This window comes from Homo sapiens, chromosome 10 (assembly GCF_000001405.40).
Source record: "Homo sapiens chromosome 10, GRCh38.p14 Primary Assembly".
Lineage (NCBI taxonomy): Eukaryota > Metazoa > Chordata > Mammalia > Primates > Hominidae > Homo > Homo sapiens.
Genome location: NC_000010.11, coordinates 18,497,975 through 18,512,615, shown reverse-complemented (window position 1 = coordinate 18,512,615; position 14,641 = coordinate 18,497,975). Strand labels below are relative to the sequence as shown.

The 14,641-nt window shown below is 39.9% G+C and overlaps 1 protein-coding gene across 15 annotated transcripts in view; it reads right to left on the bottom strand.

Annotated features, from left to right (window-relative positions):
- Positions 1 to 14,641, bottom strand: part of CACNB2 (calcium voltage-gated channel auxiliary subunit beta 2) — a 403,134-nt gene that overhangs the window by 30,942 nt on the left and 357,551 nt on the right. For 14 of the 15 annotated variants that reach the window (NM_201571.4, NM_001167945.2, NM_201572.4 and 11 more), the window contains 3 exons: positions 14,139 to 14,261; positions 11,668 to 11,804; positions 6,069 to 6,145 (listed from right to left, as the gene is read on the bottom strand). In NM_201571.4, coding sequence (NP_963865.2) covers positions 6,069 to 6,145; positions 11,668 to 11,804; positions 14,139 to 14,261 — 337 coding nt within the window. Of the gene's footprint in view, positions 1 to 6,068; positions 6,146 to 11,667; positions 11,805 to 14,138; positions 14,262 to 14,641 lie in introns of those variants that run through there. The other variant, XM_005252591.4, reaches the window with a different exon arrangement.

The following is a 14,641-nucleotide window of genomic DNA, read 5'->3' as shown; positions in this document are numbered from 1 at the left end:
GTTATCATTTAAAATCCATGGTCCGAAACCGCAATTACATTTGCACCAACAATACAATGTGCAAAAAAAGATTTTTCTTTTTGCAGATTTTGTGTAAAAATAAGGACAGTGTGAAAAGTTTCCCTAAAATTGCAACAGACATTTGAGAAAAAGAGAGAATGGAAAATTCTCAATCCAGTCAATGCAAAGGAGTCATACACAAGGCCAATGATTCAGGGAGGGCTCCAGGAAGGACAGGATTAAGATGATTTTAGGCTGATGAAGACTAATGGGAAAACACTGGGTCCCAAGATATCCGAGTGAAATCTGTCTAATAAAATGACATTGGAAGACTTCTGGTGACTTATGCAAAGCCACTGGGTTTAACAAAAGAGGCAGAGTGGAAGGGCACGAGGACCCAAGAGGATATGCCACTGGTTTCCTCATCTGTAAAATGAAAGGTTTAGCTTTGTTGCTTGACATGATTTACTTTTCCCATTGTTCCACCTGAAAATATAGTACTTAAAAAGTGTTACAAGAAAAAAAGATGCATAATCTCACTTCAAATTTTACAAAATCCTTCCACATGCAATTGAAATAGCTACAGAATTTTATCAACTGCAGAGTCAGAGATGGAAATAAAGATCAACTTCAAGGCTCTTATTTTTAAGATTAAAAAACTCAAAATTTAAGGGACTTGTTCTTGGCAAAAACTTGGCAGTCAGGATTCAGACCTACTCCTCCTGCGTAAGTGAGTCTATAACCCTCCGTATACCACAGTGCCCACCTAAATGAGTCTGTAACCGTCCCTATACCACACTGCCCATCCAGGCGAAGTCCCTTCTCAATCTGGGTGCCCTCTTTCAGTTCCCTTCACATCCTCAATGGGGTCATGTCCTTGATGTCAGGAGTCAGGATGACATCATAGAGCTGGACTAGCTAGAAAATTATTCTACGGTTAAGAATCAGTCAAGGAGAAGAAAAAAAATTTACTCACTGCAGGAAAGCATCATATTATACATGTTAGCTCTCTAACAAAAACCACAGTACATTTAGATTGAAGGAAGGAACAAATTACCAGTTTGAAATAACAGACAACTTGGTGTTACAATACAGCTACCATTCCCTGGGATACACAAGCTGAACTGCTCACAGCAGCTTCTTCTAACCTTTTCAAAGGATGGAAGATCATCTGACAGGCATTACATTATTTTTCAGTTTTGAAGTTGTTATGAATATTAAATGAAGCAGCCTTTTGAAAACTAGGCTCTCTTATTTAATTATTCCTTTTCATTTGGTGAGGTAGGAAACCTGTGATGGAGTGAATACCTGCCATTGTTTGTACACTATTACAAATAATCAGCTATTGCTTGCATAATGCAGGAGGTATGATTTTCTATCAAAAAAAAGGTAATAATGGAATTAATTCAGTCCTAATTACGTAGACCTAATATAGTAAGTATGTCTTCCTCTTTGCCCCATCTATGCATACTGATGTGCTAAAAGGTTTAACATGTGGTATGTAGAGAAAACATAAAATGTGCCTAGGGCTTTATCCAGTGCTGACTTTTATACCATCCTATAGCTAATCCTTTGCTCATATAGGAAAGTTTCCTTATGGGGCTTATTGAATGGCATAAGCCAGGCAAGAGTCTCAGAAAACTCTTCAGAAATGTTTTTCCTTGAATCTCAACTCAAGCAGCATGTTGTCAGCGCTTTCCTGGATATGAAGGACAAAATCTGCGTCAGGAATTCATTATTCCTACAATACATGTTAACCAAAATCAAGAGTTTCCTTGCTGGTGGTAAATTCCCACAGGTTTTATCTTTCTCATCTTTTATTGGGCTCATAAAGACCACATTCAAGGGATAGTACCCTTTGAGGGCTCTCCTAAAATGAAGATAACCAGTTGGATGTCAGAATTTACAGGACCCTTGGACAGTCAAGTTCATGAGTTGAATTTTGTGATTTGCCCATTGAATCTAGCCTGCTGTGATCATCAGTTGTATTTTTGTTTTTTAAAATAAGAGTGAGGCTGGGCATGGTGGCTCATGCCTGTAATCCCAGCAGTTTGGGAAGCCATGGTGGGTGGATCACTTGAGGTCAGGAATTCGAGGCCAACCTGGCCAACATGGTAAAATCCTGTCTCTACTAACAATACAAAGATTAGCCAGGTGTGGTGGCCGGTGCCTGTAATCCCAGCTACTTGGGACGCTGAGGTGGGAGAATCACTTGAACCTGGGAGATGGAGGCTTCAGTGAGCTGAGATTGTGCCACTGCACTCCAGCCTGGGTGACAGTGAGACTCCATCTCAAAAAAAAACAAAGAAAGAGTGGAAACGTATACATCTTTGGCTGCAACGTTGCCCAGGTGTTTGGCTTTCCACACACATAGCCTGAGTCAGGTTTGAAATTTACCTGTATCTGGACATGAGGGCTGGATATCCCAAATTGAGAACTTTCTATAATGTACTAGTTCTGACATTTGGTTAACTCAGGTCTAAAAACATCTGAGTTCATTTTGAAATACGTAGAATTCTGAAACATGTGGTCACTTTCAAAACATATTAAAGAAACTTACCAAGGCAGTTAAGAAGCATTTTCAAATCTGTTCAGCTACATGTATTTTATTAGACTCAGATGGTTCTCCTTTTAATGAGAAATGTTACTCTTTTTAAATTTCATACTTATATTTCCATGCTTTAGCAAACATTAGTATTTACTTGGAAAGAACTGCTTTCATATATTTGAAAAGTCTCATTCTTCCTCACTAGCATGCATATATTATTATTAGTGATAGAGAGCCTTGGGAACATTTTTTCTGTTTGTTTGTTTATTTATTTATTTGAGACAGGGTCTCCCTCTGTGGCCCAGGCTGGAGTGCAGTGACATAATCATGGCTCAGTGCAGCCTCAACCTCCTGGACTCGAGTGAACCTCCTACCTCAGCCTCCCAAGTAGCTGGGACTATAGGTGCACACCACCATACCCAGCTAATTTTTTAGAAACGGGGTCTCACTTACATTGTCCAGGCTGGTCTTGAACTCCTGGGCTCAAGTGATCCTCCTGCCTCAGCCTCCCAAAGTGCTGGGATTACAGGCGTGACCATGGCACCGAGAACAATTTTTTGAAATTTAAGTTTTGGTGTTAAAGGTTTGGGTCAAGTTAAGCAGAGCTTGGGCTTGACACATATGTACACACGTGTGTGTGGGTGCGATGTATGTATTCTGCAACTGGCTATGACACCAATGCCCAGATGTCAAGTGGGAAATTTTCCAAGTTCTTGACAGCATCCAAGCATATATACTTTAGGCAGATACTTATATTCTTTGGTCTGGCAATGAGTGAGGAGAATAATAGATGAGACCTTTGGAAACGATGAAAATGATCATTACAGACCCATCCACACTTGATAGTTGGAGCAGTTGTGCCTGGAGGTGGATTGGGAGAACTTCTCTTTCGAGCTTTCTGAAGTTTTCCTTTAAATCAGTTGAGCTATTGATATAAAAATTGTCTCAGAGTCCTAATATGCTTATTATACATTTTGTAGTTGGTTATAGCTCCAAGTGACTCAGTCACCAGAAAAGTCACTTGAAAGTTGGTGTATCTCTACAAAACCTTGGTGAACATTTAAATCACCTTTTTAAATATTACACTCTTCATGGAACTTTACTTTTAGTAATGTCAAACATCTGCCTACAAAATGGAATGTTATTTTACATGTATACTAACTTGTTCTTCAAAATGCAGCACCTCCTTTCACTATACAGACGGTCCTTGACATACACTGGTTCAACTTAAGATTGTGCAAGTTTATTACAAATTTTTCAGGACATAACCTTATCATAAGTCAAGGTCTGAACTTTACGATGGTTTGACGTCAGACTTTTTACTGGGTCTGTCCACGTGTTAAGTACATTTTGAGTTACCATATTTTCTATTTATGATGGGTTTAGTGAAGTGTAACTCTATCATAAGTTGGGGAGCATCTGTGTTGCCAAAACCACTGGAGGGCTACAATATGGCTGGAGGGAATGGAAGAATTTTTCTGGTATATAGAAAGAAGTGAGGCTGACATTTGCAGGCAGAACTGCTGCTTTATCGCAAGGTGACATAGTCTTTTTCCACTTTAAGAGCCTAGTAGCAGTCCCTAGAAATCACTGAAATCATCTTTGAGATATATAAGAGTGTAAGGTTTATATAGGAATCCCTGCAACTTCACACATTTGAGAAGGAACAGGATAGGCCTCCCTTCCTCTGTGGATTCAGGGGCTCCGTAATTATCAAGGGAAGGTATAAGTTTCACATAATACCTACAGGGCCTTTCATTTTCATTTCATGCATACTATTTTACTTAATTTTGAGCATCTTAGAATTGCTTGCTTCAAGTTATAAGTAGATAGTTTTTGAAATTAATTTGCTTCCTAAAGCAATTCATTTATTGTGCTCAGATTTTGCTCACTTGAAAGTCCTATATTCTGTGTAGAACTTGGAATTCTATATAAACAGAACAATGGTTTGAATTGCAAAAAAAGCCCATGATCAGTATCTTAGTTTGCCAATGGCTGGGCATGGTGGCTCATGCCTGTCATCCCAACAGTTTGGGAGGCTGAGGAGGAGGATCCCTTGAACCCAGGAGTTTCAAGAACAGCCTGGGCAACATAGTGAAACCCCTTCTCTTAAAAAAAAAAAATCCTATAGTTTTTGCTAAGAAGTCCTTGATTGGTCTCTAAAGGCCACCACCATTCAGGAATGAAGCTGATTATTAGTAATAGAGAAATCCTGTCCTTAAAGCACATCAGTCACTGTGTGACTAGTTCTTTGATTTCTGCATAGTTGTACAACTCTCTGTTTTTTATCTCTTCCCATTTCCAGCTTTCTAGAAATCACACACAGTATCATTTTGCTGAAACACCCTGGCAGTCAACCTTTACAGTCTTACTCTGATTCCCAATAACAATTCTCTTAGCAAACTAAGATACTGATCATGTGCTTTTTTTTGCAATTCAAATCATTAGTCTCCTGTCTATATAGAATTCCATGTTCTACACAGAATAGGAGAGTTCCCAGATTTAGCAAATATAAATGCAGTTAAATTTGAATTTAAAACAATGTTTTAGCATAAGTATGTTCCATACATTTTTAGTGTAAGTATGCCCCATGCAATATGTACTTAAACTAGTAAATTATTGTTTATCTGAAATTCAAATTTAAGTAGGTGTGCTTTATTTTATCCAGCAACCATTAGGATGAACCCACTGCTTTGGAAAGAAAACAGTAGTTACTGTTCCCACACACATTTTCATCTTTTTTCTATACTTCTTGTCTGTGTCTTCCACAGAACTTTTCTGGTAGAGCCCACAACAGGCCAATCCTCTATCTTCACTTTACCCTCTGTTCCTTACCTTTCTAAAGTTTTTATCCTTCTGTTTAATGTTAAGGTTATATCTCACATTGTGCTATGGTTGTTGGCAAGTATTCACCCATTTACTGCCCATGACAAGCACCATCGCAGGAACTAGGGATTAAAGGTTAATATGGCTGGGTGCAGTGGCTTACATCTGTAAACCCAGCACTTTGGGAGCCTAAGGCAGGTGGATCGCTTGAACTCAGGAGTTCGAGACCAGCCTGGGCAACATGGTGAAACTCCATCTCTACAAAAAATACAAAAATTAGCCGGGCATGGTGGTGTGCACCTGTAGTCCCAGCTACTTGGGAAGCGGAGGTGGGGGGATCACTTGAGCCCTGGAGGCAGAGGCGCAGTGAGCTGCGATCATGCCACTGCACTCCAGCGTGGGCAATAGAGTGAGACTCTGTCTCAAAAAAATAAATAAATAAATAAATAAATACATTAATCACTTTGATCATCTACAGCAATGTAAACACTTTGACATACTTCTTTTTCCAGCCAGAAAAAAACATTTCCCCATATTGTTTGTAACTCCAAAAGGGCATGCTCACTTCTGATTCCTTTTAACATCTGTAGGGTTAACATAGTGATTCAGTGTATACGTAAATTCACAAAACTGGATAGAGCTGGGGAAAGCATGAAATGCAGTATGTATTATTCAGCATTTATCACCTACTTACCAGATGATGGAGGTGTTGATTTTCTGGAACTAGGTACTATGTCACCCAAACTGGATGATGAATTTCCTCCTGATTTACTGGAGTAAAGCAAAAATTTCTATTAAATCTGACACTTATTTCGCATCCTCAAACATTTATATTATTCAGTAAACATAATTCATTATGGTTTTATTCAACTTTAAATTTATCTTTCATTTAAGGAGGAAAACAATATTTCCCAGTGGAGATTCCTGGAGTACTTGAAATAGCCACATGATGGTCTCTGATTTCAAATTCAAGGTTTAATTTTAAAAGGACCTGAGAGAATGGAAGAGAACCAGTGTAATTTCTGCAGCCCCCAAGTTACTTGCCCAGATCACAGACAGTGAAATAGCACAGATTTATTTTGCTTTTTATTTTAGAGACCCTCAGAGGCGATGCACAGAACCTTAAGGCTAACACCCAAGATTAATATTTCCTTCTTGTTTGGTTTCAGCTCCTCTGTTTTAGGCTTATTTTATTAATAGTACACTAAGATTGAAAGCACTCACGCTTTCATGAGCAATCTATCAAAGAACAACAGAGCCATATGAAAACTTGCCAACCACTAACGGACACACGAAGAAACATGACTAAACAGAATATGATATGATGTAGCCATCAGATAGTACCCAGAATACTTCTCAAGCGTGACTCACGTGGAGAATGAAACGTGGTTAATTTAGGAATAATTTGAAGATCATACATTTCCGAACTACCAAATTTGAAAGTTTGATATGATATACTGCAGTGTCTCAGAAACATTGGAGTTAATATTAGAACAACAGCATTTGTGTTTTTCACCAGCCTACTAGCATGCTAAATAACGTGTTACCGAATGACCCCTCTCTCAGATGAAGATAAGAAGAACATTTTACATTTGGGCAAAATGATCTCACTGCCTAATGTTTATTATTATGGCCGAGCCAGGGTCTAGTTGAAAGAATTTGCTACAGTGTTTATGCATCAAAGGGCAATATTTACTTACGTAAATATTAATATGGAAATAAAAGTTTTATTAAAGTATCAGTAACAGGCTGAATGTTATTGCTACTGTTCTAGCATTTTAATGCATAAACATCAAAAACTTTATTAGGCAATTAGCAGGAGGGCTGTATATCTTTTTAAGGTTCTTAAGAGATACTCAAATACATTTAATAAGGGCATCAGACAGTATGTGAAATTAATGACAAGTGATATCTATAGAAGCAGTTTCTGGCAGTTATACAAGGACCTATTACCAAGACCAAAACATTTTTTTCCCCAGAAGTTTTTTTTTTTTTTCTGAAGTATTAAGTCTAATTTCAGTTTAAGTTCATGGGTTTTATATTCCCTTTGAATTTTAGTAACAGCCAAAATATTATTTATGTAAAATTGTGACAAATGCTGCAAATGGTGACAATGACCAGGATGCAGATTTGTCCTTGACTTTTAATTCTATTAAAATGCCAAGTTCTTGAACGGTACCCCAATTCCATTTCCATTGAGTTCTGTCAATTTTTATAATTTCTGTATCAGAGTTTTTAAAGACTGCCGGATTCTGGTTATGTCCTCAAAACAAAACTACATTTAAAATGTTAGGAGAGGCCGGGCACGGTGGCTCACGCCTGTAATCCCAACACTCTGGTAGGCCAAGGTGGGTGGATCACCTAAGGTTGGGAGTTTGAGACCAGCCTGGCCAACACAGTGAAACCCTGTCTCTACTAAAAATACAAAAATTAGCTGGGCGTGGTGGTGCATGCCTGTAGTCCCAGCTACTTGGGAGGCTGAAGCAGGAGAATCGCTTGAACCGGGGAGGCGGAGGTTGCAGTGAGTCGAGACTGCGCCACTGCACTCCAGCCTGGGTGACAGAGCGAGGCTCTGTCTCACACACACGCACACACACACACAAAAGGAGAGAAATGTAAAAACCTATGAAAGCAAGTAAAAGTATTTTCACATACTTAGGCAAAATCTTGGGCCAAAATAAAATGAAGAAAATCAAAGGAAAAGATATATGGCTGTAAGAAAAGGTAATCTAGTTCTCTGGAGTAAGTTCTGAGATGTTACATTCCCTCAAATACGGATAACTCAGAGTCCTAAGGGAAAAAAATGCAAGAGCAAAACAACATATCTAATAAAGTAAATAATAACAGATGGCAATAACCATCTGTCCTGGGCTTGCTGTGCCAGGCAAGACCTGGCTCCTTAATCTGCAGTGCAGCATGGAAGTCTGTACAGCGTGGAGGTCAGGCTACCATCTTGGTTCTGACGCTTACTAGCTCTGCGACCTCGATCAAGTTCCCTAACTTCTCTTAACCTGTTTTCTCATCTGTGACCTGTAAGATCTAATACCCACTGCTCCCACAGGTCCTTACAAAGATGAGTGGAGCACTAATGTTAGCCTAGGCAAGCCCATTTGGGAGACACAGGAGACTACATTTCTCAAACAATTTTGGGAAAGATTTCTACTCCCTTTGAAGTTGTTCTCATTTCTCAGTTTCTATATGAAGAGGCAAAGAAAGACACACAAGCCTGCCTCTGCAAAAATCCATCCCAAATTTTCCAAAATGTATTCTACAAAACACTATTCCTAAGACATGAGCCAGGGGAGTTTTTATGAGAAAGCAATTTTAGTAAATACTATACTTAAAAAAATTCCCATTCCACCAGAGATTCACAGTGTACATGATGACATTAAAAGGCTATAAAAAAATCCTGAAGTAACTTTCTATTACCTAGAACTATCCTTAATTTATTTCATCTTGGAACCCCTTTCTCAAGTCATTTGACAAGAAAATTCTGAAAAATGCTGAATTGTCCTAACTAAAAACAAAACACCCCCAGCTGGGATAACTTCAAACCTCAACAAACGATATACTACCTAGTTGACAGGAGCAATGTCTACACCCTATTAAAACAAAATGTTTCCATATAAGGTGGTTCTTTTTTTTGTTTGTTTTTTCAGACAGAGTTTCACTGACGCCCAAGTTGGAACATGATCTCGGCTCACTGCAACCTCCGCCTTCCAAGTTGAAGTGATTCTCATACCTCAGGCTCCCAAGTAGCTGGGGTTACAGGTGTGCACCACCACACCCAGCTAGTTTCATACTTTTGGTAGAGACAGGGTTTCACCATATTGACCAGGCTGGTCTCGAACTCCTGGCCTCAAGCGATCCACCTGCTTTGGCCTCCCAAAGTGCTGGGATTACAGGCATGAGCCACCGTGCTTGGCCATAAGGTTTCATTAGCTAGTATTATGATACCATTTTCAATACAGAGGGTAGGAAAACACAAAATAAGGCCAATGGAACATTAAGGATTGAAAGAATCCTATCGGGTCTTCAAACACCCTGCAGGCAGAATGCACATGCGCTGTTCATCTGCATGTCTTTACTTTTTTTTCTCATTAAGAAATGCATTTTCAACAAAAGTTTAATATTTAATATTGCATATCAAAATATGCATTATATGTATGTTGGTCTAATGAATAATTTACTGCTGCTAATGATAATGATAACTTAATTCAGAGTAAAGTATTTTAATCCTAAGAGGGTTATCTTTACAGGCAACTTTTTTTTCTTTTTTTACTTTTAGTTTCGGGGTACATGTCCAGGTTTGTTACACAGGTAAACTGCATGTCACAGGGGTTTGGTGTACAGATTATTTTGTCACCCAGATAATGAACATAATGCCCCAGGAGGTGGTTTTTCTGATCCTCACCCTCCTCCCATCCTCCACCCTCAAGTAGTCCCCAGTGTCTTATGTTCCCTTCCTGGTGTATGTTCTCAATGTTTAGCTCTCACTTATAAGTAAAAACATGCGGTTTTTTTTTTTTTTTTTTTTTTTTTTTTTTTTTTTGAGATGGAGTCTTGCTCTGTCGCCAGGCTGGAGTGCAATGGTGCGATCTTGGCTCACTTCAACCTCTGCCTCCCGGGTTCGAAGTGATTCTCTGCCTCAGCTTCTCAAGTAGCTGGGACTATAGGCACACACCACCATACCCAGCTAATTTTTTTTTTTTTTTAGTAGAGACGGGGTTTCACAATGTTGCCCAGGATGGTCTCAATCTCTTAACCTTGTGATATGCCCGCCTCAGCCTCCCAAAGTGCTGGGATTACAGGTGTGAGCCACCGCACGTGGCCCCCGTATTTGGTTTTCTATTCCTGTGTTAGTTTGCTTGGGATAATGGCCTCCGGCTCCATCCATGTTGCTGCAAAAGACATGATCTTGTTCTTTTTTTTTTGAGATAGAGTCTCACTCTGTCGCCCAGGCTGGAATGCAGTGGCACGAATCTGGGCTCACTGCAACTTCCACCTCCCAGATTCAAGTAATTCTCCTGCCTCAGCCTCCCGAGTAGCTAGGATTACAGGCTCCCGCCACCATGCCCAGCTAATTTTTGGATTTTTAGTAGAGATGGGGTTTCACCATGTTGGCCAGGCTCGTCTTGAACTCCTGACCTCAGGTGATCTGTCTGCCTCGGCCTCCCAGTGCTGGGATTACAGGCATGAGCCACCATGCCCGGCCAATCTTTGTTCTTTTTTATGCATGCCTCTACTTTTATATGACTGAATGCATCTCACCATCTGAGTGCTCTCAATAACCCAGGAATTAATGAAAGTCAATTCTGGGGTGGAGGTCTCAAAACACAGAGGAATCCGTCTGAACTAAATGAACTTGACAATTATGAAAAGCCAGTTAATGAGGATGGGTGTTCCAAACCACAAAGCATATTCTGTTTCACTCATCTGCTGACGCTTGAAAAAAATACTTGCTCACAGTAAAGTATTATCACTGACAAAGGGATTTGCATCTTAGATAAACAAATAAGATGTAAGATGGAGAAAAGAGAAATCCAGCGATTCGTATTTAAGAAAGGCCTTGCCCATGTCCCATCCTTTCACATTGGGAGAGGCATGCTGCGTCCTTAGACCCGTCTGCATACGATTCCATGGAAAATTCAGTACATCTACGAGAAGCCTTTCTAGTGATTCTTTCAGAGAGGGACAGACAACCTCACAAATCCTAGGAGGGATTATTCAGCCCCAGCTTCTTACATAACTCATCTAATTGCCATCTGCACAGGCAGTTTTAACTTGTTTCATACTTCGCTTCTCTTTAAGTGCTTAACAGTGGGTAGAACTGAAAATTGAGTTTCTCAGGTGAAAATGAAACTAACGGATGACAAGAGCTGCCACTGCCTGATGATGTCTGAGAATGTCATCTCTCAAACATCTCCCAGCCATACCAGGCAGCTACAGACAGTGGGATTAGTCACCAGGGCTATGATGTGCCAGACTATTTTTCAGTAAATGATTAAGGTTTCAGATTTTCCTCTGCCCTGGAGCCTGAATTTAATACTCTATGACCTTAGCTCTTTTCATTAATGATAATAATTTGACACTTTCCCAAATAGGGTGAAAATCAGGTGCTGGACTGAAGTTTTTTAAATGCAGGAAAATGCAAGATTTGTGATGCTATCAATAAACCATATTACCAGCCTCCTTGTTAATACATAATAAAGGATACAGAATACAGCAGACAACAGTACACAGATAGTGGTATAATCTAAGTTTTATGCAAACACTTGACATCTGTCTCATACCTGGAGTAGAATTTCCCTTGCTTGGCTCTCTGTTCATGCTGCAGCCTCATGTTTTCTAGTTTGACTGGGCTTGGAATGAATCCGATTTCACAGCCTTCTTTTACCAATCGCCCTATCCACCAGTCATTGTTAAATTTCTAAACACAAAATCAAAAGCATTAAAAATCAGTGCACAGAAGGTCAAATCCTTGTTCTTCCACACTATTTTCAGTCGAGAGAAATATGGCAATGACCATTAACTATGCCTTAAATATTATCATTCAAGAAACCCTTCGGCTCATGGGTTTCACATGTAAGAAATGCATTTAGCGTCCTCAGCAATCTATCAAAGGCTCTGCGTTCCTTGTCTGTCCTGGTGCTGCCGTAGGACCAGGCTGAATTCCCTTGCAGCAGCTGCTGTCACCATGAGTAGGGATAAGCTCTCTGGGTTCAAAGAATAACAGCCCATCCTACCAAGAGATCTTTAGGAAGTACTGTTACAGAAATCTTCCCCTTATATAATCAGACCAATTGGAATTATTGAGAGAAAGAGATAAATATTGAAGTGTACCTTAAATATTTCATGTCACAGGACAATTTACCTTTGTGCAAACAGTTTTATAAATATACAATGCGATGTTCACAGATGATTTCTCTACTTGTGTGATGTTGACAATTTATGTCTTGCAGGTGGAATATGTATCTTAAATCTTTGTGATTTGCCTTCTTTTTCCTCGATTGAATAAATCTGTCCTTGAACACGTCGAAGAAGAATATACATTCTGTTTTTCTTTTCCTTTCATGGTGGAAAGATCCCCCTTTCAGCATCAATCATCAAGAAGAGACCTCATAATAATCTAACTTCCTGGTGTAAAGTGAGATTCTAGGCACAGCTGATAACTTTTTCTATTGTTCCCACCTAGCCAGTATTTGACATCTCTTTTCAGAGGTTACCAAAATGGTAGGCTCTAAATTCTCTAGGCTCTTCTATTTTTAATCAAGACAGGGTCTTGCTCTGTCGCCCAGGCTGGAGTGCAGTGACATGATCCTGGCTCACTCCTGTCTTGAATTTCCAGGCTCAATCAATCCACTGGCCTCCTGAGTAGCTAGGACTACCGGTGTATGCTACCACACCAGGTTAATTTTTTTTTTTTTTTTTTTTTTAGAGATGGGGTTTTACCCTGTTGCCCAGGCTGGTCTCCTGGGCTCAAGAGATCTGCCTTCCTCGGCCTTCCAAAATGCTTGGAAGCATGAGCCATAGTACCCAGGCTTCTAGGTTCTTAGTGCTTGGATTACAGGCATGAGCCATAGTACCCAGGCTTCTAGGTTCTTTTTTTTTTTTTTTTTTTTTTCTTTGAGACAGAATCTCACTCTGTCGCCAGGCTCGGGTGCAGTGGCGCAATCTCGGCTCACTGCAACCTCCGACTCGCTGGTTCAAGCTATTCTTCTGCCTCAGCCTCTCGAGTAGCTGAGATTACAGGCATGTGCCACTACACCCAGATAATTTTTGTATTTTTAGTGGAGACGGGGTTCACCATGTTGGCCAGGATGGTCTTCATCTCCTGACCTTGTGATCCGCCCACCTTGGCCTCCCAAAGTGTTGGGATTACAGGCATGAGCCACCGGGCCCAGCCCTAGGTTCTTTTAATCGGCAGTTATCAACTCCTTTGCTGACAGCCTTTAGTGCAGTGAAGAGTTTCGATTTACACATACTTCCTATGACATATTATATATACCCTAGATGGAAGAGCTCCAAGTATAAATTCCTTCAGGTCCAAGAAAAACCTCAGGATCACACACTGAGAATATTCTACAGGGGAAATTTCTGGTCAGTTTACACAGTGCTCCACAAGGCAGGCATTTGATAAATGTTGACTCCAAACAAACCTTAATTAAGGATGAAAGTTTCCAATTTGCAGGTTGTGTCATTGCTCACTAGAAGGTGGAGACATTTAGCATGTAGGAAAAGGACTTTTCCTGATACCTCTTTGTTGCCTTATTGGTGTCAATTCTTACCATTCTCTCACCCACTGCAGAAATTTAGCATTTAAGGAGGAAAAAGGTCATCAGTAGTTTGTATTGAGACACTGTCAGCAGAGAGAAGAGTCATGAATTCTAGATATTATTATTAAACCCTCCCCAGATGCCTAGACTTCAGGCATCAGGAAAAACTACACCTAGTCAAGGTGAAACATTAAAAAAAAGTATAGGTTAAGCATAAAAAAGGATCATCTACTCTAGCAGTTCCCAATTTCTGGGCCACAGAGCCCCAGGGAGCGCTGAAGTTATTGCAAGAGGCCTGTGACTTCTTTCCACTTTAAAAGGTATATTTATATTAGCAGAGGTTGAGAGCCATTGATTTAGTTATGTGTGTTATACAACTGCAGCGATGTGCAATGCTACTTCACAGAAACGGCATATGAATAGGAAATAAGAAATGGTATGTCAAGGTGAAACATCATGCTGTTAGAAAATGAAATTATTCTCCTTACTTCCTTAACATGCAGAAAATCTTTTGCTTCGAATGAGATGGCCATGCCAGGCACTGGAACATCATCTTCATGGGCCGCACTGTAGCTGACATTTGTCCGAACCGCAAATGCAACGGGCTTTGTCTAAAGTGGGAAAAGGAAGAGGGAAAAAAATAAGAGCAAAACAACACTGTCCCTCCTTTTTCCCTCAAACACAAAGACATACTGAATAACTACTGTAATCATTGTTGGTTTCCCCTCTGCACTGGTTCTTTATCACAAAACAGCTTGTTCGTATTCAAAACACTTGAAATCTCCCAGCTGTGAGCTACATAACACCCATTTCTGAACTAGAAAAAGGCCATTGTTCTCTTTGAAAGCACTACAAGTAATGAAGGTGAAGAAGAGCCACGGAAATATGTGTTTTCAACATTGGCGCTTGTAGCAACTGTAAATCAGGAAACACAAACATGAATAAAATCCCCAGTTCTTCCGTTTCAGTGGAAAGGACTTAGTCACTGCCT